This window comes from Homo sapiens, chromosome 1 (assembly GCF_000001405.40).
Source record: "Homo sapiens chromosome 1, GRCh38.p14 Primary Assembly".
In the NCBI taxonomy this organism is placed as follows: domain Eukaryota; kingdom Metazoa; phylum Chordata; class Mammalia; order Primates; family Hominidae; genus Homo; species Homo sapiens.
Genome location: NC_000001.11, coordinates 240,459,022 through 240,485,353, shown reverse-complemented (window position 1 = coordinate 240,485,353; position 26,332 = coordinate 240,459,022). Strand labels below are relative to the sequence as shown.

General features: G+C 39.7%; 1 protein-coding gene across 5 annotated transcripts in view; it reads right to left on the bottom strand.

Annotated features, from left to right (window-relative positions):
* The window catches only part of FMN2 (formin 2), a 383,305-nt gene continuing 367,139 nt past the window's right edge, over nucleotides 10,167–26,332 (bottom strand). For all 5 annotated transcript variants that reach the window (NM_001305424.2, NM_020066.5, NM_001348094.2 and 2 more), the window contains 2 exons: nucleotides 12,901–12,982; nucleotides 10,167–11,226 (listed from right to left, as the gene is read on the bottom strand). In NM_001305424.2, the coding sequence (NP_001292353.1) occupies nucleotides 11,200–11,226; nucleotides 12,901–12,982 (109 nt within the window). In that variant the 3' untranslated portion in view covers nucleotides 10,167–11,199. The remainder of the gene's footprint in view (nucleotides 11,227–12,900; nucleotides 12,983–26,332) is intronic.

The window sequence follows — 26,332 nt, the reverse complement described above, 5'->3', positions numbered from 1 at the left end:
ACCAGGTAATAGAATTGGATCTGAAAGAAGAGACAAATATGTGAAGTAGTCACAGAATGCGGTGATGAAAGAGGGGGGTGTTAGTGCAACAGATGGGCAGCCCAAGATAAATGAGGATCCGGTTACAGAAAATACTGATGCAGGTTTTTATAGATGTTGGGTCTGTGGTGATAGTGAAACATTTATGTAAATGAAACTTTTTCCCTGTTTGAAGAAATAGGACAAATTTATATGAGCAGCTAGATCTGGAGAAACTGATATTGAAGCAAAAAGATTGTAACTAAATCCACGAACATACATGAGACTTTTTTTTTAATTTGTTTTGTTTGTGAGACAGGGTTTCATTCTGTCACACAGGCTGGAGTGCAGTGGCGGGATCATGGCCCTGGTCTCAATCAGTCAAGTCTCCTCCAACTCTCTCTCTCTCTCTCTTTTTTTTTTTTTTTTTGACATGGAGTCTCGCTCTGTCCTCCACAGTGGTGCAATCTTGGCTCACTGCAGCCTCAACCTCCCAGGCTCATGCGATTCTCCCACCTTAGCCTCCTGAGTAGGTGGGACTACAGGTGCATGCCACCATGCCTGGCTAATTTTTCTCTTTTTGTAGAGTTGGGGTTTTGCTATGTTGCCCAGGCTGGTCCTTGAACTCCTGGGCTCAAGCAATTCACCCACCTCAGCCTCCCAAAATGCTGGGACTACACCCAGCCCATATATGACACTTCTAATAGGGACAGTGGAGGAACACAGGGCCAAGTAACCTTAAAAAATCCTTCTTTAGAAGAATAGGAAGTTAACAATAATATGTTATATCATATATCATATAAATAGCTACAAGGAGGATATTGAATGTTCCCAATACAAAGAAATAATAAAAATTTGAGATGATAGATATGCTAATTACCCTGATCTGATCACTATACATTATATATGTTACATCACTATGTGCCCCATATATATGTACAATTATTATTTGTCAATTAAAAAATCTTTTTGGCAGGTGCACTGGCTCATGCCTGTAATCCCAGCACTTTGGGAGGCTGAGGTGGGTGGATCACCTGAGGTCAGGAGTTTGAGACAAGCCTGACCAACATGGAGAAACCATCTCTACTAAAAATACAAAATTAGTCGGGCGTGGTGGTGTATGCCTGTAATCCCAGCTACTCAGGAGGCTGAGGCAGGAGAATCGCTTGAATCCTGGAGGCCAAGGTTGCAGTGAGCTGAGATCGCGCCATTGCACTCCAGCCTGGGCAACAAGAGTGAAACTCCATCTCAGAGAAAAAAAAAAACAAATTTTTAAGAGTACGGAGATGAAGAAACATCAGAGAAAATGAGTAACGTTCCTCAGGCAATGTCTGCCCATTGCCTGATGTAAAAGTGGAACCTTTTGATCCTTCCTTTCACTGCCTTCCTCTTGCTCTACACAGGCTTCTAATCCTCCCTCCTTCCATGCATATCTGTTGCCATAGACAATTCCAGCTCCTCCTCACCTTCCTGGTGGCAACCCTCCTTGCTCTGCTCTTTGAGCAATGCCACATCTTCCTGATGACGCACTGATGGCCTGAGCCCCATTCCCAACTCACATTCCTGAAGGCAAAGAGGGTGTGTTTAATAAACTAGGCACACATGAAGTCTTCCAAACCACCACCTTCATCTGTCATATTCTGCTGCCCGGACATTCTTTATCTAGCAAGACCATAGTTACTTAACACGATGCAACTGCTAATTTGTGGGAAGGAGACATTGGATACCAAATTATGAATTGGGTGTCTAATCAAGGCTGGAAAACTTAAATTTGATGTTTGAAACTCTAGCACAAAGGTTTGAGAGTTATCCAACTATTTACATCTGGGGTTTCTTGCTTTCTGTTTTTGTTTTCACCACGGTATATCTATATTTTAATTTTTGTTTTATTTGAGGAGCCAAAGAATATACAATTTGTGTTACCATCGGCACCGCAAGTCTGGTTTTCCCTGTGCTGGGAGGAACTCTGTGGATGGGGTCTATTTCTAGATCTATCTTGAAATTCTGTAAGCTAAATACTCTTTTTTTTTTTTTTTTTTTATTTTCACTCTTTGCTTGAAAAATATGAGCGCCCTAATTTAAGGGTATGCTGACTAATTACAGACAGCATTTATAAGGTAAAATATGTGGATAGGAAATAACAAGTATTGCGGGGCCCAATTTAGATTAATTGAACTTCATTATCGTAGGGCTTGTTGGGACATGGTTTAAGCATATTGCCAGTTTCTGACTCCAAAAAGCCTGAAACCAACAGATAATTCTCATTGTTGATTAACAAGTAAAGTGTAAATTGCTCCTATGATCCATTGCCTGGATTAGAAAGTGATGTTAATCTCTGGAAAACTTTAGAGCATCCGATAGGAGTGGAGCTATAGATTAGGAACATTTACATAGTCCAGGAGGGCAGTATGAAGCAACTCCAAAATTGAGGTGAAAGGGAGTTTTGCACAAGTAGAACCAAAATGGGCCTATTGTGAAAGAAAAAGCCCAATGTTACTGTCACAATCAGACCACCATAGGAGAAAATGTGCCCAGTGGCCTACAGACAACCCCGACCTTTTTTTCATTCTGGCAACAGAGAAACAAGATTGGCTTGCCAGCCTTACACATAGCTCTCTGTAGTGGTCTAGAGTGAGAATTGTCCTGATCGTCCTTGGAGAGGACATCTGATAGAGCTGCTATCATGATGTGGAAACACGTAAACCACCCAACCTGTATTGTCTCCTTGATTTAACAGAATTGACCAGCTGGGTGTCATTTGATATTTGAAATGAGATAAATTCCACAAAATTAATTATAAAATATTTCTCTATTGACTGATTTTTTCATCTCATCAAAATCTAAAAGAACCAAAAGAAATAACAATTAAAATTCTCTCTCCTCTATCCCAAATTCTACCTGTTTTTCTTCTCCAGAAGCAACTAATAATCAGTTTCTTGTCAATGACTCCAGAGATATTCTATGTATGTTAATTTCTTGAAATTCAGTAATCATGCTGCCATCATTTCTTCATAAATGAGACTGTACTATAAACACTGTTTTTCTTCCTGATTTCCCCCCCCCCAAGGACAAAGATAGAAACTTTTTATGGATTTTTTTCCCCTTAATAAAATGTTGTACATCTACATCAGTATATAAAGGGCCTGTTTTTTCTCTCTCTTTTTTTTTTTTTTTTTTTTTGGGATGGAGTCTCACTCTGTCCCCCAGGCTGGAGTGCAGTGGCGCCATCTCGGCTTACTGCAACTTCCGCCTCCCGGGTTCAAGCGATTCTCCTGCCTCAGCCTGCCGAGTAGCTGGGATTACAGGCACCTGCCACCACGCCCGGCTAATTTTTGTATTTTTAGTAGAGACGGGGTTTCACCATGTTGGTCAGGCTGGTCTCAAACTCCTGACTTCAGGTGATCCACCCACCTCGGCCTCCTGAAGTGCTGGGATTACAGGTGTGAGCCACCGCACCCAGCTGTTTTTTCTGTTTTAAAGCCTAAACGTTACTTCATTATTTAGACATTTCCAATGTTTTGCTATTACAAACACTTACTGTCACTTTCTAACGTGTAAAATGTAATTGGGCAAGTTTCTCTTTCCACTACTCGTTCCTCCCCAAAACCTTGACTGTTCTTGCTTATTTTTATGTTCAAACTTTGAAGTCAACTTCTTTAGTTCTCACCCTCCCTCTTCCCCCGATGAAACATTCTGCAGGTATTTTTATTTGGATTGCATTAAATGTTTTGGCGTGCACTAAATTTATATTAAATTTATAATTTGTTTAGGGAATACTGGCATTGTCATTGCCCTTCCATTTTTGTGAGTCTCTCAACTATTTTCATATAGACCTTACACATTTCTTATTACAGTTATTCCATGTTATTTGGATTTTTTGTTTGCTATTTTAAGTGGGGATATTTCACAATTTTATCTTCTGACTGGGTATTGTTTGTTTACATGAAAGTTCTTGATTTCTGTATATTAATTTTTGGCCTAGTCGATTTATGTCATTCTATTATTATCTTTAATAGTTGTTTTGTTATTGTCTGTTTTTTGAGCATATAATCTAATAAACAGCAAATAAAAATTAACTTTACCTCATCCTTTTCCATTGTATACCTTTTTTTGTTCATTGCCAGAACAGTGATAAATAGCAGGTGAAAGTAGACAACCTGGTCTTGTCCCTGAGTTTTAAAGGAAATAGTTCTTTTTTAAAATTTTTTTATTTTATTTTATTTTTTGAGGCAGAGTCTTGCTCTTGTCACCCAGGCTGGGGTGCAGTGGCGCAATCTTGGCCCACTGCAACCTCTGCTTCCCAGGTTCAAGCCATTCTCCTGCCTCAGCCTCCCAAGTAGCTGGGATTACAGAGGCACAAGCCACCGTGCCCAGCTAATTTTTGCATTTTTAGTAGAGACGGGGTTTCAACATGTTGGCCAGGCTGGTCTCGATCTCTTGACCTCATGATCCGCCCGCCTCGGACTCCCAAAGTGCTGGGATTACAGGCGTGAGCCACCATGTCTGGCCAGAAATAGTCCTAAAGCGTCCCCTTATGCCCCAGGCTGACTTTACCTTGAGGTATTTGATTCTTTAAGGACATATTTATGTTATTCAGAGTTTTTTCTTCAAAAATTAGTTAATTTGTTAGCATTTTGAGGAAATCATGTGTTTTTTTCTCCACACATGCATATGATTTTTAAATACACATATATTGAAATATGCAAGGCAATACTCATATGATCATCCTAGCCTTCCAGGAATAACCCCCATTTCTCCATGGCCCTTCTGATGTTTGCTAACGTGTTTAGTATTTTTCACTGCTATTCCTCAATAAGCTGGCCTATAGTATTCTCACTTAAATAATCTTTGTTGGTTTGATAGCAGTGTTAATGATATTTGCCAGCTATTTGCAAATATTGAATAGTTTGTGTGGGGAGACAGTAGGGTTGTGTTTCAAGCTAGACAATATTTCATTATGAAGTACGATGGAGAGCATGTCTCGTTCTAGTATTTACTACTGTAATTCAGGGTCTCTTCCTTCACCTTTGTCTTATTGATAGACACCTTCTTGCAAATATGGTTTGTCAGCCTAATTTCTCATGTAGGCATCCTTCCTGATGTAAAAAATAGTAAGAGACATTCAGGGGAGTGTCTAATACCAATTGGTGTACCGAGGTCCATTATTGCAAACACAGTTTGAGATAACACCTCCCAAGGGTATGGTTTCACCTTGGAGAAGGATTTTGAGATAACACCTCCTAAGGGTATGGTTTCACCTTGGAGAAGGAGACTTTCTTGCTTTTTCTGAGACGTGTCTTCATGAGCATCCTCTCTGCCTTTTTCCATACCCACACATTTGGGAGATCTTCTGTATATTTTGTGGTTTGGGTTTTCGACACCTCTAATTTTAATTGAAGATAAATCAAAAATGATGCATATTTGTTCCTTGTTGCTTTGGAATGATTTTTGGGAGAGAAGGGGGTGAATGTCCCCTTTGTCACACCACTTTAGAACATCAAACCTCTTCGTATTGCTTTTGATTGTTTAACTGTGTTTCACAGGAAACAAATACAACCTCCAAAAGTCTGAGTTCACCGATTAGCTGGGAAGTGGAAATGCTAATGACAGCTGGTGTAATTCAAGGAACAATGGCACAGGATTTTCAGAGCTTGTAACAATTTGTTCCCATCCACTTACCCTTGAGTTCTCCCACCTACCATCCACAGTCACTTCTCTTTTTACCATACTTTTTTTTGGCTTTGTTTTTTCTTACCTTTCTGGCTTTTAGTTGGATTGGATTGACCTTTAGTTGATATGTTTTTTTTTCTTATTCCTTCTTTAATTCTTTTTGTTCTTTTAATGAACAGTGCTAAATGTTTAATTTATATTTACTTTCATATTTTTGTAACAAAGTCCAAACATATTCATTATCACCATCTTCTCCCTGTTTTGTTTTTGGACAAGGTGTCACCCTATCACCCAGGCTGGAGTACAGTGGTGTGATCATAGCTCACTGCAGCCTCCACTTCCTGGGCCCAACTCATCCTCCCACCTCAGCCTCCTAAGTAGCTAGGACCACAGGCAAGTGCTACCACACCTGGCTATTAAAATTTTTTTTTCTTTTTAGAGATGGGGTTTCCCTAAGCTGACCAGGCTTGTCTCCTGGGTTCAAGGGATCCTCCTGCCTTGGCCTCCCAAACTGCTGGGATTACAGCTGTGAGACGCCACACTTGACCATTCTTTTTTTTTTTTTTTTTTTTTTTTTTTAAGGAGATAGGGCTTTCTATGTCTCTTCATAACACTTAAAGCTCACGTAGTGCTTATATGTAGGGTGACCAGAGTTTGTCTGGGAGTGGTATCAATTTATGGAGATTTTCCAGGTGTAATAGCCTCACTTTTACTCTCAATGGTATTCTGGTTTGAAGAATAAGTTATTTGTCACCCTTCTTAAATATTATATTGCCTGATATTATTTTACATCGCTTGTCTCCCTCATTAGAACATAAGTTACACGAGGATGGGACATTCTTTGTCCGTGACTCCCAAAGCCTACTCCAGTTTCTGGCACACACTGACCACTCTAAACATTTGCAGAATTGAATGAATGAAGAGAGCAGCACATGCCCCATCGCGTGTTTGAACTATTCCCTGAACTTCTCCCACCCAAGTTGTTACTATCTAAAATTTTAGTGCCCATTGTAAACATGAAAAATTAGTTGTAATTGTTACTGTTTACATTCTAGGGTTGATTTTGTTTCACCAGTTTCTATGGCTTCTGTGATTTCTTAAATCCCAGGCCCTCACTTCGTTTGCATCTTTTTCCTTGCTGAAATGTGCCCCGCAGCAGGCGCTTCAGTGAGGCTTCGGGCGTAGTTACCTCCTGTGCTTTTCATATGTCTGAAAATCTCTCTCTCCCCTTCCATGTGAATGATGTTTCAAGTGGGTCTAATGATCTCAATTCACTGCTCTCCTTCCACAATTTAAAGACGTTTTACCTTTTTTTTTTTGAGACGGAGCCTCGCTCTGTCGCCCAGGCTGGAGTGCAGTGGCGCGATCTCGGCTCACTGCAAGCTCCGCCTCCCGGGTTCACGCCATTCTCCCGCCTCAGCCTCCCGAGTAGCTGGGACCACAGGCACCCGCCACCATACCCGGCTGATTTTTTGTATTTTTAGTAGAGATGGGGTTTCACCGTGTTAGCCAGGATGGTCTTGATCTCCTGACCTCGTGATCCGCCCACCTCAGCCTCCCAAAGTGCTGGGATTACAGGCGTGAGCCACCGGGCCCAGCCAAGACGTTACTATTTTCTAACATACATTGTGGCTGAGGACAAATCTACTTTCAGAATAACTGCCGTTTCATTTTAAGTGACGTGTCCTTTCTTTCTGTCGTTTTGTTTGTTTGTTTGATTTGAGACGGAGTCTCGCTCAGTCACCCAGGCTGTAGTGCAATGGCACGATCTCGGCTCACTGCAACCTCTGCCTCCCCGGTTCAAGAGATTCTCCAGTTTCAGCCTCCCGAGTAGCTGGGATTACAGGCGCCCACTACCACACCTGGCTAATTTTTGTGTTTTTAGTAGAGACAAGGTTTCATCATGTTGGCCATGCTGGTCTTGAACTCGTGACCTCAGGTAATCCACCCGTCTTGGCCTCTCAAAGTGCTGGGATTACAGGCGTGAGCCACCATGCCCGGCTAACGTGTCCTTTCTTTCAAGAGGTTTTCAAATTTTCTCTTTACCTAGCTGGAGATTCACTTTGACCTTTCTTGGTGCAAATGTATTGGTATATATCTGTCTGGCACTTGATACGTGTTAAGCAGAGGATATATCTTTTTTCAATTCTGGAAAATTCTCAGCCATTTTTTTCCTCCAAGCCATTATTTGGCTTTTCTACTATTTCCTTTAATTTCTCCATATGGACTGCCTCTTTAATTGGAGTCTCTCAGTTTATCCTGTATCTCTCTTAACTTCTCTTACATGTTTACAAATATTTTCTCTCTCTGCTGTGTGGTCTCACTAAATTGCTTGGTGCTACCTTCCAAATCACTTGTCACTTAATGTGTGCCCATCTAGAACTCATTCAGCTTCTGTTTTTTGTGTCTCAATGATTATATATTTGAAGTTCCTTTGCAGATTTTTTTTTTCTTTTTGAGACAGGGTCTTGCTCTATTGCCCAGGCTAGAGTGCAGTGGCATGATCTCGGATCACTGCAACCTCCACCTCCTGGGTTCAAGCAATTCTCCTGCCTCAGCCTCCCGAGTAGCTGGGATTACAGGTGCCTGCCACCACGCCCGGTTATTTTTTTTTAAGTAGAGATGGGGTTTCACCATCTTGGCCAGGCTGGTCTTGAACTCGTGACCTCATAATCCACCTACTTCGGCTTCCCAAAGTGCTGGGATTACAGGTGTGAGCCACCACCCCTAGCCTACAGATTCTAGATATAACTATTATCTAAGTTTTGCCGTGTTGTTTGCATTTTAAAGGTGAATTCATTTTGCTGTTTATTGAGTTGTTTTATTCTTTCTCCTTGAGAATTTTCCTTCCGTGCTTTGGATGTGTGTTTTGCAGAGACGTCTTGAGAGAGTGCTCACGTTCTTTTTCCTCTTCTCTCTCTCTGTATCTGGTCATTTTCCATTGCGTCCACCCATTCCTAGTCCAGAACCCGGCTTTCTGGGTGGCACTGGGCTGTGTGTCAGTGACATTAGAGACACTGCAGGTACAGACATGGCCCAGAAGTTAGCTGGCCCAGTGTAGTCTGCCTTCTCCTGCTACCATGTGTCTGGCTGGCTAATGTTTGCCATATCCTGTGGCATCCTCTGCAGCTGTTTTCAGTGGATCCTCACTGGTAGGTAAGTCTCACATCTCTGGTAGTGATCCTGGGTTGATTTCCCTCTACAAATGGGGCATGATCAGTTGTCTTTACTCCATAGAGATTCCTCTTGTTCATGCACTCTCTTGCAACCCCCACTTCCCACCCTGCATCTATACTTTTGAAAATATATTTCATGTTATTTTTCTACTTGGAAACAGAGGGGAAATCCAAATTCTTAACTCACAGCACAATGTTTCTTGAATGACAGAAGTCTTCCAAGTATGGAGCGTATTGAACCTCCCTTTTCTACTTCCTTAACACTACCTTCGTTTTTACCACTACCCTTTTTCAGCAAACAAGGGACTTCATTCCATTTTCAACCTACTTGTATCCTGAAGCATCTGGCATAGTTAACACTCCTATCTTGCCTTCATCAGCAAATATGTAGTGAGTCTCTGTCACACGCTAGGAGCCAGGGAGACCAGTGTCAAGAGATATCCTGGAACAAATGCCTTCTAAACTCAGATACAATTATTAGTGAATCCATGAAATGTTGACAATGTTTCAAGCTGAGGGCAAACATGCGGAAAGACATATAGTTGAGAGGAAATTAGCCTAGAGGTATTTTAGTTTGGCTGGAGGCTGGAATTCAAGGTAGGTTAAGTCAAGAGACTAAACTCAAAATGTAAGTAGGCACTGCTTGGGACTCCGTCTGCCATATTAAACATTTAGATAACATTTTGAGGCCACATATCTTAGTGTATGTGGCCATTAAAATGCTTTAAGTAGGAAATTCAAATGAGCAGATTTGTATTTTAGAAAAAGGTGGATTCAAATTTTAAAAATATGTTGCAGGGCAAATCTCGGAAGATGAGAACAATGAGTAGGTTAATAAAGGAATTAATGAGGGTTCTGAACTAAGACTTTAATAGAAAAGACAGAGACAAATGTATGCATTTGTGATAAGTAATATGTCAAAAGATGAACTTGGGTTTCTGAATGAATAGTGGCTTTGTTCACTGAGATAGATAATACACAAGAATGAGCAGGTATGGAGGGAAAAGATGACAAGCTGAGTTTGAATTTACACATAATGAATTTTAAGGCATGGTGAGATATCTGATTGAAAATGACCAGAAGATCTTTGGGAGATCAGGAAAGAGATCCTAGTTCAAGCCACAAAGGAATAAATATTTTACCAGGATTTCTTACTTAGGTATCATTGATGGGCTTTAAGTTCTTAAGTCCCTGAAACTGTACACACATTTTTGTGTGTGTGTGCAGGTGAATATGCAGCATGCCTAACTTATTTTCCCTCCTTCTCTTATTCCCCACCCCATGTTAAATATGACAGCTGTCTTTTGCAAGTATCTTTATTCTTTTATTATTCATTTTATTTTCATATAAATTAACATCCTAGAAAAATTGAAATAGAAACACTAAATACAGTATTGCACATAGCGATCTTTGTTAAATGCCCTATTATTTCATTGGAGAATGGTAATATACACACTGGAGGGACTGAAGGGGACAGGAAGACTACAAAACAATAGAAAAAAAACCACTACTGTTTCTTTGCACTTAAACTACAAACTAAAAAGTAAGAGACCATACTTTACATAAATACAAACAATTATGATTTAGAACATTGGTTTTCTTAAGTTGCTTTCCATAATTGGTTTGCAAGAGCAATAAATTCTCCCCTTTATCCACAACTATAACTTGCAACGAAGATCATTAAAAGTAATGGAAAAAAACACCCAGCTCATACAAAACCATCACAATGCATTACGAGCTGACCCAAGTCATTATATGACTTCAGTAAAAAAAATGACCATTTTCTTTCACAAATACATAGTTATGGAGAGCAACCCAAGAGTTGGGAAAGCACTGATTATAAACGGTTCTTAAATTTTAAAATAGAAAATTTATACTTAGACATGAAACTGATACAAACAATTCACTAGAAATAACATTTTACCCATATGTCTAAATGCTGTGATGTGGAGGACTGGTTGTCAGTAGAAAGGAAAGTGTTTTTGCTGTGACGAGGAATATTCTCACAACAGTGAATTGTAGTTAATGTTTAGCATGTTGAGAATTAGTGCAGATACTGCCTCTTACACATGCTGTTTTGGTCTATCGGTATAATACCATAAACTTTTACAAAAAGAAAAGGTGTCAAATTCTCCACTGGTCTAGTACGTTTGCATTTTTATATGAATATACAGTAAAATTCAACAATTAGTGAACTGTCTAGAAAACAAAAAGATTATGCAAGAGGTCAAGAAGAAACATGAGCAGAATGACGGTAGTTTCCCTCCCACTCTCAGGTCAGCTGAATTTTGTGAAAGTCGTTGCAATGACTCATTTTCATTCTGCTTTTCATTGTTCAAGTTTTCATGCTTATCTTTGCTTTCTGAAAACAAATACACCAGATAAAAGTTTTAGTTAGAAAGAACTTTTAAAAATGGAAAGAATTTAGAGTAGCCTAAAAAAGACCTTTTCATTTGGATCAAATTCTGTGGGACAAGGTTAAAGGTCTACCAGTCCATAAAGGAAAAAAGTATAAGTGGGATCTGTGTTATCTTTGAGCACTTTTATCAAGACAAATCGCCAAATACTTTTGAGAAAAAAAAAAGTTTTAAAAATTTAACTTCTAACCAATATGAGAGGGTGTCAAACTCTCCATTCTCATCCTCAATCCTACATGCAAATACATAAATATGAAAACTGAAGTGGCTGCTTCACTTCATGGTAAATGTACTCTAATTATCTTCTGTACTCATAATAGCAAGATTGAGGTTCACTAATAAGTAACTATTCCTCCACATTCAATACAGTTATAAGACTGAATCATCAGGAGCAGAAGATAAGCTGAACTATCATGTAGTAGTTATCATTAGATAAGATCATTTTGATACAGAGAAACTGAAGGCACCACTGCTTCTAAATGAAGATATAATTCCTAACTTTTTAAAAAAAAACAGGGCTATTTAATCATATCCCAATTTGGGTTATTTTAATGTCTTTTCCCTTTAGACTACATTAGACTAATTCAATTTAGAATGGTCCTATCCTAAGGCCTAACTCAACTTTTCATTTAAAACATTTACTTACACTGTGGTACCAAGTGATAATCCCTCAAAACAGTCAACAAAACATCCTCAGTATCACAAGGAAAAGCCTTGTCATTTTAACCAAGCCCTTCCCTCCCAGGGTGGATAACCTGGCATTTTGTTTTAAAGCGGGGAGTGGGCAAGCAGGAAACTTAAATGAGCTTGTTAAACTCCGTCTCTGGACTGACCACTCTCCGGCAGCCAACTCTGCCGAGCCATCTGTGGATATAAACGGGGTCTGGGCACCCTGGGCAAAGCGTCACACTGCTCTTGGCGCTTCCCACCAACTTTACATCCCAGTGGATCTAATCCAATTAGAATGATCACTCGTGGCTCAAATACAGCCTCTGCCGTGATCTGTGTGTAACAAAGAAAGTGAAAGATGGTCTCCCCACCCTGCCCCTGCCAACATGCACATATCCACATAAATGCACACCCTCAGTAGATTCAGTAGATTTATCTTAATTTTTTTTTTTTTTTTTTTGAGACAAAGTCTCACTCTGTTGCCAGGCTGGAGTGCAGTGTTGCAATCTTGGCTCACTGCAATCTCCACCTCCCAGGTTCAAGCGATTCCTCTGCCTCAGCTTCCCAAGTAGCTGGGACTACAGGCACACACCACCATGCCCGGCTAATTGTTTGTATTTTAGTAGAGACAGGGTTTCATCACGTTGGGCAGGATGGCCTCGATCGCCTGACCTCATGACCCGCCCACCTCGGCCTCCCAAAGTGCTGGAATTACAGGCATGAGCCACCACCCCCAGCCCAATTCTTAAGTTTTGAATAATCAATATCAAGACTCTTAGCCTTCTGGGCCTGATTAAAGGCATAAGAAAAAGGAGATTCTTGAAGTCAGAAGCTCCTTATTTATTCACACTTAGTAGAAAAATAATTAAAATATTATGAGTTTGTATATATTATGAAAATAGGATTTAAAAGCCAAAGAAAATAACAAGTTAAAAATCAGTAATACTTACAATTCCAGAGTCATGTCTTGGTTTTATTTTATAAAGTGATTTTCCTTTCTTCTGTCTACACACCTCTTCGGCTTCTTTTACTCTGATGGGGAGAAGACACATGTATTTAAACAAAACCTACTTAGATCACCTCATTCTACCTTATAGTAAGTGAGCAAACCTCAACTCAATAAAGATTTGAATTACTGCAGAAAATAATACAATACACAGAAGAATGTTATCTGACATTTGAATTGAAAGCCTCAACTGTTACAGCTACAGACGCTAATTTATCTAGGAGTTCTTAACTTGGAATCATAGTATGATTGAATGGAGTAATATACAAACACATAAGAATTTCTATGCAGAGTGTGTATGCATTTCATCCTATATAAAAGGAATCTTATATACAAGTAAAAAATGAAATACCCCTCATTGTCAGCTGAGAGTATGAGATTGATTCTATTATATAAATAGGATTGGCACCATGACGTAAGTTAGAAGCATTAGAATAATTAAAGAGTATCACAGCCAGGGCGGAGTAGCTCATGCCTGCAATCCCAGCACTTTGGGATGCCAAGGCGGGTGAATTGCTTGAGCCCAGGAGTTCCAGACCAGCATGGGCAACAGAGTGAGACCCTGACTCCACAAAAAATACAAAAACTTAGCCGGGCATGGTGGTGCGTGCCCTGCAGTGAGCTGTGATCAGCACCTCTGCACTCTAGCCTGGGCAACAGTGAGACCCTCTCCCCTGCCACCCCCCACCAAAAAAAAAGTGTCACATAAAAATTTACATGCCGGCTGGGCGCGGTGGCTCATGCCTGTAATCCCAGCAGTTTGGGAGACTGAGGCAGGTGGATCACAAGGTCAGGAGATCGAGACCATCCTGGCTAACACGGTGAAATCCCATCTCTACTAAAAATACAAAAAAAATTAGCTGGGTGTGGTGGCGGGTGCCTATAGTCTCAGGTACTCGGAGGTTGAGGCAGGAGAATGGTGTGAACCCAAGAGGCTGAGCTTGCAGTGAGCCGAGATGGCACCACTGCACTTGTGCCACTGCACTCCAGCCTGGGTGACAGAGCGAGACTCCGTCTCAAAAAAAAAAAAAAGAAAATTTACATGCCATGCTTACTTAAAATTATTTCAGATTAACTTCCTATACCACACACACTCATGCATACAAATCACTTGCAATAAATACTTGAGCAGTTTCTAAAAACTGAGCTTCATCTAGCATGGGAACCAATCATTTGATAACAAAAAAGAGAGTGAGCAGTAATAACATTTTAATGTTTCTAGTATTTCTTGTTAAGCATATATGACAAGGAAAACAACATTGAACTGACCAGAGGTATAGTTAAAAGAAGATGCTATTTGGAGCAAAGTCCTGTATGAAGTTCTGGCTCTGCTATTTGACACCGGTAATGTTCTTGTACCCCTGAACCTCCCTATTCCCTCACAGAGTGAAAAGTTTCCATTATATATTAAATTATCTTCATTATCACTGCACAGAGTTGCAAAGACGGAGTAAAATTTTATTTAAAAAGTTCTTTATGCATTGTAAAAGGCTATAAAATTTATTATTGTTTTAATTAAACAAATAGTAAGAAATCTGTAAATTGGATTTTTTTTTTTTAATAAAAAGGGGAGCTATGACAAGGAAAATAATCTAACAGGTAAAATTTATTTTTTATTACTGTGACTTTTCCTTGGGAATTAAAAATGAATTATTTCTGGAGAAACCAAAGAGGCTGTGGCTTGGTCTTAATAAAATGCATTTCATATAGACCTTATAGCCTAATTTCCTGAAAGAAGTGAATTATAAATATATTTCTTGATCCCTGTGGCAAAAAATCTAATGACAGAATTCATCTCCTTTACAACTAAATCAATTCCTCTTTTTAAACAATAGAATCAAACAAACAACTCAGTATTGCAGCTATAAGATTGATGTTATAGTTTATATTAAAGCATGACAAATGAAAGTAACTCCTTTCAGATATAAAATGCCTGCCTGGTTGATATTGTTAGCAATTCCAGAAAATGATGACAACTTAGAAGATACTTCATTGTTACCACTTTTATTACTTTTCACCCAAGCCATAAATTGCCTTTAATCCTTCCTCTAAACATTTGAAGATAAAAACATTTTCTTTATAACAAACTAAGGATTGCAGCATCCCCATCTCCCTCTGAAACAGCTACCAGTAAATTTAAGTTGAAGTATTTGGATAGGGAATTAAGGAAACTGTTTTTTTTTTTTTTTTCAGCACTTAGTCAAAATCCAGTGGATCTCCTCTTAAATTTACTTGGAGCTTTTTAAAGCATTTTGTGGCATTCCAATAAAATGTACTTTACAAGTATTTAGATCCTCAAAGCATCTTAATTTTCTCCCAATCCTATTTATTTTTTTCTCAAAACACATTTTTGTAAGGATCACAGGAAACCGAGTCTAATACAAACATTTTTAATTTTACACAAAAACATCCAGTCATTCCTTATGGCAGAGACCACAAAAACTGAGGAGAATGTGCATCGGAGGCCTCACAAGATCTTTCAGCTCATCCATTCATTTTTCAGTCATTTCTGAAGCATTAGCTCGAGGTCCAGCACTAGGCACAGCTCAACATTATAGGGACAATGAAATTCAATGTCTAGTAGGAGAGAGATACTCATGAGCAAGTAAATGACAATGTTGCATTAAGAGCAACCACCCAGGTTCGTATAAGGTACAACTGTGTCCTGGAGGAGGATCCTGGGTGGGAAGGCTGGGTTTACAGAGATCTTTCTGGAGTAAGCGACTGCCGAGCCTTGTTTAACAGGCACATCTTAATCGTTTATACTTCTCTTGGAAAAGGAAAATGGATTGAACATGAAAGAATAACATATAAAGGTTGAGTAAGAGTCAAGAAACAGCAAACTGAGCTTCAAGAACTATGAACAGTTCTCCTTTCTGCTGCCATAGGATTCCTGTATGGAGGCAAGAGTTCCAACTGGTTTTCAGGTTTATGCCTCGGTTTCTTATGTGTGTGACTAGGATGAGTCAGTCACCTCACTCTAAGCGCCTCTAGTTATGCACACATAAATGACCTGGGCAGCTGGAAAACTGAGCCCCAGAACCTTGAATATAGTTCCTCTTCTAATTTCGGAGCAGGAGATTCATGGAGAATTTGTTAAAATGCAGCTCTCTAGGCCTATTCTTAGGTATTCTGATTTAGTCACTCTAGGATGCTTTCAGAAGTAGCATCTGGCAGAATCTGGTGTAGGTGGCCTGTAAGGACCACCCTGAGAAACGGTGCCCTGGAACTGAGGCATTAACACTCCCTGAAGCCCCAGCGGTGCTGCCAGACCCCCAAAACAACGACACTTCCTCAGTTCCCACTCTTGTACCAGATTGCAAACCCAAACCACATCAACTTGCTCCTGAGTCTCACTCCTCCTAAGCTTCCCAGCAAATGTTGCTGCTTCCAAAAGCCAATTTTATTTCAACAAAACTCTGACAACAAGACATTTTTCCACACTTTCGGCAGGAAAAAAGAATGTGTCCCTGGAGGTCGACTATGTTGCCAGAGTTGGCAGAAATAAGAAAAATAATGAGGGAGAAGTCGGTACGAAGACAGCCTGAGCCAGCTGCCAACATTCGATCTTCCTACTTGGGCTCTCCATTTGGTTTACGGTGGCAGATTTCATCAGCTGCCACTCTGAGTCTATTGAGTAACTGTTTGTACGTGTTCCATCCACTTTCTCTCCTGCCTCACTCCTCATTCAGTGATGCCTAACATTTCTTAACTAAGTAGAAAAAAGATGGTCATGTCACAACCAGACTTGAAAGGCTTTTAGTGAAAAGGCATGGTGGAGATAACATTTCAAACAATAAATTAAAATGACCAATATGTCCTGTTTGGGAAGGAGGAGAAAGTAAAAAGAGGGACAATACCTCATTGATAGAGTGAGAACGCAATCACCATGAAGAGGGAAGTGTGTCCTGAGAGAGGAAACCAGAGCGGGGCTGAAGATGGTCAAAAGGCTTCCAAACTGTGTCTGCACTTGAGTTTAACTTCTAATCCTGGTGGGGGTCTATGGATGCTGTTCAGAGACACAGCTCTGTGCATGATTCATGAAGAGATATATATACGTATATATGTGTGTGTGCATATGTATATATGTGTGTGTGCATATGTATATGTGTGTGTGCATATGTATATGTGTGTGTGCATATGTATATATGTGTGTGTGTGAATACACACACACACACACACACACACACATATATATATATTTTAGTGGATGCATTCACACAAAGGGGGACTACCCAGGGCATTTGTGAATCAAGATTTCACCCTATTAGAGAACTAAAAAGGGAAGTAAAAATTTTAAGATGACATCTGTGATAGGCTCATTTTAACAGTTGCAACTTCTAATTAGCAATCCAGATAACAGAAGGAAAATATGAGCAAAACCAAACCATATGATAATGAAAAGAAACTTCATTCATCACTTTTAGTGACTTTGGGGAAAAAAAATCAAACAACACAGAAAGCAGAGACTAGAAAACAGGAAATGTAGCATTATCTTTTAGATGGAAGAGATGGACACTAAATGGTAGATAATGGCTATAAAACTTGATGTTTATTTTAATATTTTACAATATCTTTTATTGTCTATGAAACTTCAGAAACAAAACTACGCTGAATAAATTTCAAAGGTAAGTCCAATGTGAGTAAAATAAATTTCATCTCGAAGCAAACTTTCCTTCTAGCAATGCTCAGAAACAGTGAGATTAATCAATGAATGTGTAATTCCCAGATAATGGAAACTTGCCCCCTTTACGGTACTATCTTTGTATAACCAATTTTGAATAGTCTTTCTTGAAACAAATTAAACTTTTCTCTCTCTTAAAGAAATGGAAGGCCTGGTGTGGTGGCTCACGCCTATAATCCCAGCACTTTGGGAGGCTGAGGAGGGTGGATCACAAGGTCAGGAGTTTGAGACCAGCCTGGCCAACATGGTGAAACCCCATCTCTACTAAAAATACAAAAATTAGCCAGGCGTGGTGGTGGGTGCCTGTAATCCCAGCTACCCGGAGGCTGGAGAATTGCTTGAATCTGGGAGGCGGAGGTTGCAGTGAGCCGAGATCATGCCATTGCACTCCAGCCTGGGCAATAGAGTGAGACTCTGTCTCAAAAAAAAAAAAAAAGGAACGATTTAACTTTTAGTTGATGGCCCATGTTCATCATTGGACACTTCACTGTTGTAATGTGCTGTAATACAGGGCCCCCTTCCTAAGGACTAAGGCCTCCTGAGATATGTAAGGCAGTCTGCCCAGTCCCTGACCCAACACTGTACTTTGCCGGTTTTGTTTGTACTTATTATGTCTTCTGTTTCTTCTTAGGATGATAGGCTGTGATCACTTCTTGATAGAGCCAGCATGCCTACCTTAAGCAGAAACTCTATTTCCTTTTCACAATCTCTGTCTTCTCTAGAGAAATCCAGATGACTAAGCTAATTAATGAGAGCAGTAGGACTCCGAGTTTGTTTCTAACAAAACGAATGGAGTTCCTGGACTTACAGGCAGTAATTTCAGTTGTCGCAGGCTTCTCCCCAGCCCCCAGCTCCCACATACTTCATTGTTCACAGTCGCACCTAGAGAAGGTTAGGGAAGCCCCAAAGGCTGACTTACAGATAGGCAGGGAATCGCGGCTCCACATTTCAAAGAATATAAGATTCTAAGCTATTGCATCCTCCAACTGGCTTATTCAACAGGTTCCCATAAAGATAGAGTAATGCTGGAATGAATATAAAACCTGAAATTCAAGCTTATCAAGGTAAAAAAAGTGTGAAATTGTTGATTGGTAATGACAGAGTTTGTGATGCTACAGAGAACTACCCCTGGGAGGTGTGAAGCATTTGGTGAGGAATATGACTATAAGGTTATTCCTCAGTTGAAGCTGTTTTCTAGGTCTTGGGCAAAAATGACCATATGAATATAAAACATCTTTACTTATTAAAACTTAAGTTCAAATTTACCTTTAAAAAAATCTTTATAATAAATTTATTTTCCAAAAATAAAGTTGTAAATGTAACTTAAAGAGAAGCTAAATAAATTTTGAAACATCTATATAAATTTTTACTCCTTACAAGCAAACATTCTAAGTGGTAACAGCTTCATTTGGTTAGGGCATTAAGCATAAAAGTAAGTTCTTAAGAAAAGAAAAACTTGAGTCTAGGAAAATTAGACTATTTTTAAGTTTTATAATATCAGAGAGGAATATGTGAGAGAATAAAAAATACTTTTCATTACAGAATTTGTTAAAACTTGTTTTAAATTCCTATTATTTTTATTTTGGTATTTTTCAAAACCAACAAAAAGTTTCTCCCATTTTGGCCTCACTATAACTGGGCTCATTTACATTAAGGGTTATTTTAAACAACGACAGCAGTTTCTCATTTCTCTCCTAATAAAGATGTATTTTTCTCTACACTCTCCCTACGTAACCCCAGACCCATTTATTGTCAGGCAAACATATACAAAAGTTCAGTGTGATTAAGTTTAAAAATGGTTTGTGAGATGAAGAAGGGAGATACACTCTGGCATAGATACAGAGAAAAGAAACCAGACATCCCTGCAGCCCGCTCTGCAGACAGAATATCTTCATCCACCTTTCAGACCGAAAGCCAAGCTGGCCACAGTCTTATCAGGGAAACAGACATGCTTTCATCATTCAATCGAATGAGAAAGGGAGCCACTTTTCTGCCACTAAACATTAATAGCTTGGTCTAAATAAGTATCTGTGGCAGACGGTTTCATTTCCTGCTGGCTGCAGCTCGGCTTGCTGGAAGTAGCCCTGTTCGCCTATGGAATCTCCCAGCATGGGAGAGGTTAAGTGCATTGTGGAGCTGGGATGTCACAGGTCTGAGGTTCTGATAGAGCAGAGATGGATCTGCTAACAGTAAACAAAAAGCAGATATAATGATCGTTACTACCAGTTCACAATATTCTTTACTAAAACATAACACCATCAGGTCTGCTAAGAAATTTAAAGCTTTTTTACCCAAAAGTAGAGGGAGAGAAAAAAGAGAAAGACAGACACACACACACACACACACACACACACACACACACACACACACACACACACACACAGAGGGAGGCATAAGGTAGGGAGTGTGTGGGGAGGAGAGAGGTGGTGGAGATTCTAGACAAAGGCTGGTTAGAAAAGCCAGCTTAGGAGCTGTGAGTCTTTCTCTCCAGGTAAAGACAGAAGTGAGTATTAGATGTCTTGTGGAATTAAGGTGATCTGGGGAAGTTTATTCGATGTCTTTTGGAATTAAAGGTGATTTGGTGAAGTTTATTACGAGCTCTCTGTTCTCTCCTTTGTAACCTCAGTGACTTAAAATACACACATACAAAACCACAAAACCCCTGAGATATACTGGAAACAAAATCAACCCCAAGTCACTTATCATTATCTCAAAGGAAAAAAACTTACAAGGCTTCCTCAGGCACCTATTTATAAATTTCATCACTGAGAATCTCTGACTTTCTCAGAGAAAACACTGCGCTTGCACCCCAAATGATCAGGAATCACAACTCGAATGAGCACAAAGTAGTTCCTAACACAAAGAAAATCAAGCTTTAAAAACATCTTTGAGCTGCTTCATGCAAGTGTCAGCCCTGGAGGGACTACAGGAATGTGGCTCAGTAATGGACAGTGCAGAAGTAGGACATCATGCTGTGGGGTCTGGAGGGGTCTGCCCCCAGCTCCCTGGGGGTCCGGGGCCAGCACGGATGCCTTACACACATCGTATTCCTTTCCCTTCACAGTAACACATGAAGCAAACCAGCCACTCTTATCAACAACAGGAGCCGAATTTTACAGACTATTCATAGTCTAAAATCTAGGACTCCTTGACAATTAGATAAGTATCTATACTTATGTTCCAAAAACCACAAATGTATTCCTCCCATGAACATAAAATTAATGCACAGATATTCTGTGTATCTGTGTTTCCTGAAACCATTTTTTTGTCGGGTATATGTGGGTGAAAAGAGCTGAGAGGATCATTTACTCATAAGAAAACATATTTGACCAATCAAATTAATTCCCTGGTGGCTGAATCTCTTTGATGACTGTCAAAGATTCTATAAGATGCAGAACACTGTGACTCATGGGTGAGCTCCCTCAGAAATGAAGAACTCTCCCCCATAATTTTAGAATGGCTATAGATTAGTAATGATGGGTGTGGATGAACGCTGCTGTGCACTCATTTTAAACCAACAAAACAAATAAATTGTACACACATACAAATCATCACACACATCTGCCTCTTTCTGTGTTTAGTCACAAAAAGCCACCAGTCCTCCTTTAACTGGCAAATCTACTTGTTGATTTCTAGTCTTTACTCTTCACCATGCTAACAATTCTGAAATGGTTAACTAGTCCCTAATCCCTAATTTTTAATTTTTTTTTTTCAATGGAGTATCCCTCTGTCACCCAGACTGGAGTACAGTAGCATGATCTCAGCTCACTACAACCTCTGCCTCGTAGGTTCAAATGATTCTCATGCCTCAGCCTCCCGAGTAGCTGGGAGCACAGGCGTGCCCCACCATGCCTGGCTAATTTTTGTGTTTTAACTAGAGACGGGGCTTCACCATGTTGGCCAGGCTGGTCTCGAACTCCTGGCCTCAGATGATCCACCCACCTCAGCCTCCCAGAGTCCTGGGATTATAGGCATGAGCCACCAGGCCTGGCCACTGGTCCCTAATTCTTGACAACTCACTTATCCTTCAGTTTTCAGAGAACTTCTGAGTTTTCCAACTATCTTTCTGGACATGTTTCCTTAATCTCTTCTGTTGCTTATTTATTAAGCTTCCTTTCAAATGTCATGCTTTCCCTCCAGGACTCTAATCTGGCCTCCATAGTATCTGTAGGAATTTTCCACTTTGTAATTCTAACTACCACTTCTGCGGTGAAGACTTTTAGATCCAATCCTCTAGCCTTGACCTTTCTCCCAAGCTCTAGGTCCTAGAGGACATTCTCCTTCCTCTCACCCACCTGGGCCTTGGTTAAGAGCATAACCATTCAAAACCATCCATCCAGTTCCTTGATAAACCTCTGAATCTTTTCTCTCCCTCTTCCCCACCCCTTCTATGCATACGCAAAGAGTTAACAAGTTCTGTCATTCTTCAGTAATGACGTTAAAATCTGTCTCAACCTTTCTAATTCCACTGTCCCTGTTTTTCAAGCCTTCTCACGTCCCCTGAACCAGTGCCATACCCTGCAGACTGGCCTCCATGTGTGAAATCTATCCATCCTTTACAAACACGGGAATCATCTGAGCCACTTACTCATTTGCCAAGCAAAAATTGTTTAAAGTTCCTTAGCGAGGTCTGCGAGGCCATTTGCAGACTGGCTCCAACTCACCTAATCTCCCCTTATTCTCTGTAATGTTCCCTGGGCTCCAGCAATACAGAAGCACCTCCCAGTCCTATGAGATGTCTCTGCTAATCTGTTCCCCTGGGACTGCCTACTCATTTTTCCTTTTCCTGTGCTCTCCCATGAGGCCTTTCAGGTTACACTCAAAATTAGCCTCCTATAGGAAACATATCTGACCCTCCAGGCAAGCTTATTTACGTAATCCTCTAAGCTTTCACATACTTCTTTCCCCCCCAGATTTTCACTTTAAGGATGACTTCTGACTATTTATCTGTGTCTTTACTGTGCTAAATAGTAAGATCCTTGAGTTGAGGAGTCATGTATAGTCATCTTTATATTTCCAGGGCATTACATTAAAGCTCACACAAGCAAGTATTCACTAGATGTTTAAAAAATAGCTGACTAAATGAATGGATGATGATGCACAGTAAAACGACGATTAAGCTTAAAAAATCACAGAGATAAATTCTGGTAAACAACTAGGCTTAGATTGAAATCACTTGTTTTTTGCCTCCTTCTTCCGGTGAACTCTTCAGCAATGTGTCTGCATGTCCAATTCACATTTTGAGTAAACTACTAAGGATTTTATTGGACTTGACCTTTGAGTTTACTGACTTGCTGCTATAATTCCATCTGTAAATAACAATTTAGTTTGAATGAATGTACATAAAATTTAAAGTTATAAAATATTTAGGGCATTATGTTTTCTTCTATCTTATAGAAGAACTAATGTCTTCAATACATGACCATTAGGAGACTGTAAGGATACAGCAAGAAATCATGTCAACCTAGCCTCACTAACTCCTAGGTTAGGAGACATATATGTAATATATTTTCATTCCAAAAAATCATTTAAAGACTCTCTCATGGGATATCTGTGGACCAGAAAGAGAAATGATGGCTACATGAGAGGATACCTAGATGAATTTACAATGAACAAACATGCTCAAGGAAGATAACAGATTGACTTTATATACAGTTATGTTCCTTTTTTAAAGAGTGTCTCATTGAGGAAGGTTGAAATATAATCAACTGGTAAAATTTATATAGATATTGTTTTAATCTGAGAACAGGGAAAGCTGTCCTGGCATTCACAGATACCCAGAAAAAGGCCTGGGTTGATTTTTTATTTGAAGAAAATGACTATTTACAGTGGGGCAGTGGTGTGCAGAGACAGTGGGCATATCATGTGCACCATCTCATTTGACCACCTTGTGACCAAACATGAGTGATGCCACCATCCTATTTTAGAGATGAGCAGGCTGGGGCTCAGAGAGCCTCTTGAGGTCACGCGATAGAAGAATGAAGAAGAGAACCCAGATGTGGTTAACTCCACAGTCTGCACTCTTTCCATATCACAATAGCACTAAAAAGGGGACAAAATCATGGGCTTAAATGTCTAGCCATTATTACTATGAAAATGATATTCCTACAGTGGAAAGTAGATTTGAATAGATGACTTGCAATGTATTTCCCAAGTTCAATATCCATTTCCCTTTAGAGAGCACCCACAGAAGAAGCATCTTAAAAGATGTAATGCAATGTAAGCACCCTGAAGGCAGAGAGTGCCTTTTCTCTCTCTATTCCATGCCCAGCACGGCACCTGGCTCATCACAATAGCAGCTAACACCAAGACCTTATAATGTGCCAAATGCAGAGCTAGGAGAGCTTACAGATAACCATCTCCTTTAAATTTCGCAGTAACCCCCTAAGGTAGATATTGTTGTTGTCCAACTTTTACAGATGATGAAACTGACACTTAAAATGGCCAAATTACCTGTTCAGGATCACACACTAATTTGTGGCAGACTTGTAGTAGTTCAAGTCCAGACACACATCATGTACTTCCAGAGCGTTCGCTTTCATCATTGCACTATTTTCTCTCACAATGCACACACATAGGAAGGATAAAAAGCGGGAATACAGGATGCAAGAAGGAAGGCAGGCAAATAGCAAGGCAGGAATGCAGGTAAGCGGAGAGCTTGCGGTTGGAACTATAGGCACCTTTTTATTATGAGACCCAGAACAGTGGCTCTTAAACTTCACTGTGTGTAGGAATCACCTGAAAGGCTTGTTGAAACACAGATTGCTGGTTTCTACCCCCATAATCAGCAGGCCCAGAGTGGGAGTTCAAGAATGTATAATTCTAACAAGTCCCCAGGTGATGGTGACAATGTTTGCCCAGGAGAACATGTTGAAAACCTCTGTTTGGAGGTAGCATAACATAGCATAATATTTTGGAAAATTAAACAAACAAAAACAATATTTATATTGTTTAATAAATACGTGATTTTCAGAATGTTTTTAATATTTTACTTTCTTGCTTATATCAATATATGCATTTATATTTAATGCATATTATATATACATTATATATTTATGTTAATTATATTCATTTACATGTATTTTATTTATTTATGTTTCTATTCACTTACAATCGTTCGAGTCTTTTCTGTTTTTTGAGACAGAGTTTTGCTCTGTCACCCAGGCAGGAGTGCAGTGGCATGATCTTGTCTCACTGGGGTTTAAGCGATTCTTGTACCTTAGCCTCCCAAGGAGCTGGGATTACAGGCACCTGCCACCACGCCCAGCTAAGTTTTGTACTTTTAGTAGAGACGGCGTTTCACCATGTTTCCCAGGCTGGTCTCGAACTCCTGACCTCAGGTGATATGCCCGCCTTGGCCTCTCAAAGTGCTGGTGTTACAGGCACGAGCCAGCACGCTTGGCCTACAATCATTTGATTCTGAAAGACTGAATCTTTTACAACACTGAAGATATTATTTTAAAAGAGAACTAGAGAAGTGGATGCATGTCTTTTAGCAAATACAGAGGAGAAGTTCTATTGAATAATTGGATAAATTTTGAACTCTTTTCAAGCAAAAGTAGTCGTGGAAACACAGTGGGCTATAGCGTTCATCTTTGAAAAAGAAAAGCATGTAAGATTCATCCGGAGAAGAAAAAACAACCACCACATTCTCCTGACTCTAATTTCTAGGAGGAATTTTTGACACGATTGTCTAAATAAAGGATGTGAATTGTAGTCAGTATAAATCTGAAAATGTAGAAGACACAGACATTTTCCAATGGCCAATTTTTTCCTTCCCACACAAATCCTCAATGAAAACTGAGACGAAACTTTAACTTGGTGAAAGCATTTCTGAGGAGAGTAATGCTTACAAACACTTCAAGTATGCCATGTAGGTTTTTGGTGATCTAATCTCATATGAGGTTAAAAATGAAAAATCTAGAAGAAAGGACAGTTAGCATACTTCCTCTACAATCTTTTTTTTTTTTTTTTTTTTTTTTTTTTTTTTTTTTTTAGAGACAGAGTCTTGTTCTGTCACCCAGGCTGGAGTGCAGTGGCACGATAGCAGCTCACTGCAACTTCCACCTCCCAGGTTCAAGAGATTCTTCTGCCTCAGCCTCCTGAGTAGCTGCAACTACAGGTGCATGCCACCACACCCAGCTAATATTTGTATTTTTAGTAGGATGGGGTTTCACCATATCAGCCAGGCTGGTCTCAAACTCCTGACCTCGTGATCCGCCCACCTCAGCCTCCCAAAGTGCTGGGATTACAGGCGTGAGCCACTGCGCCTGGCCTACAATCTTAAATCACAATCACAAGAGTGTCCAGTGAATAGCAATCAGAGGTGGCTAGCATCTCAGACAAATCCTGGAACTGTGATGGTCTGTGCTGATAAGGAAGGAAAACACAATTGCTTGAGGGGGTAGATGAGTAAACAGCAAGGTTCACACTCCATTTTGTAAATAAAGAGCCTGAATTCTATTCTGTAAAATTTAGAGTAGCTTTCTTTCTCATTCTTCCACAAGGAGTTTAATATGGGATCTGAAAACAGATGAGAAATCTGAAAGGTACTATTAAGAGCTTTTTTCAATGCTCAGATGATATGCTTAAGTCTCTGAAAACAGGAAGATTTTTGTTCACATAAATGTTAGGATTTTAAAGCTTCTAATCACATTGGTCATCACTAATATTTTTAAGTCTCTGATATAGA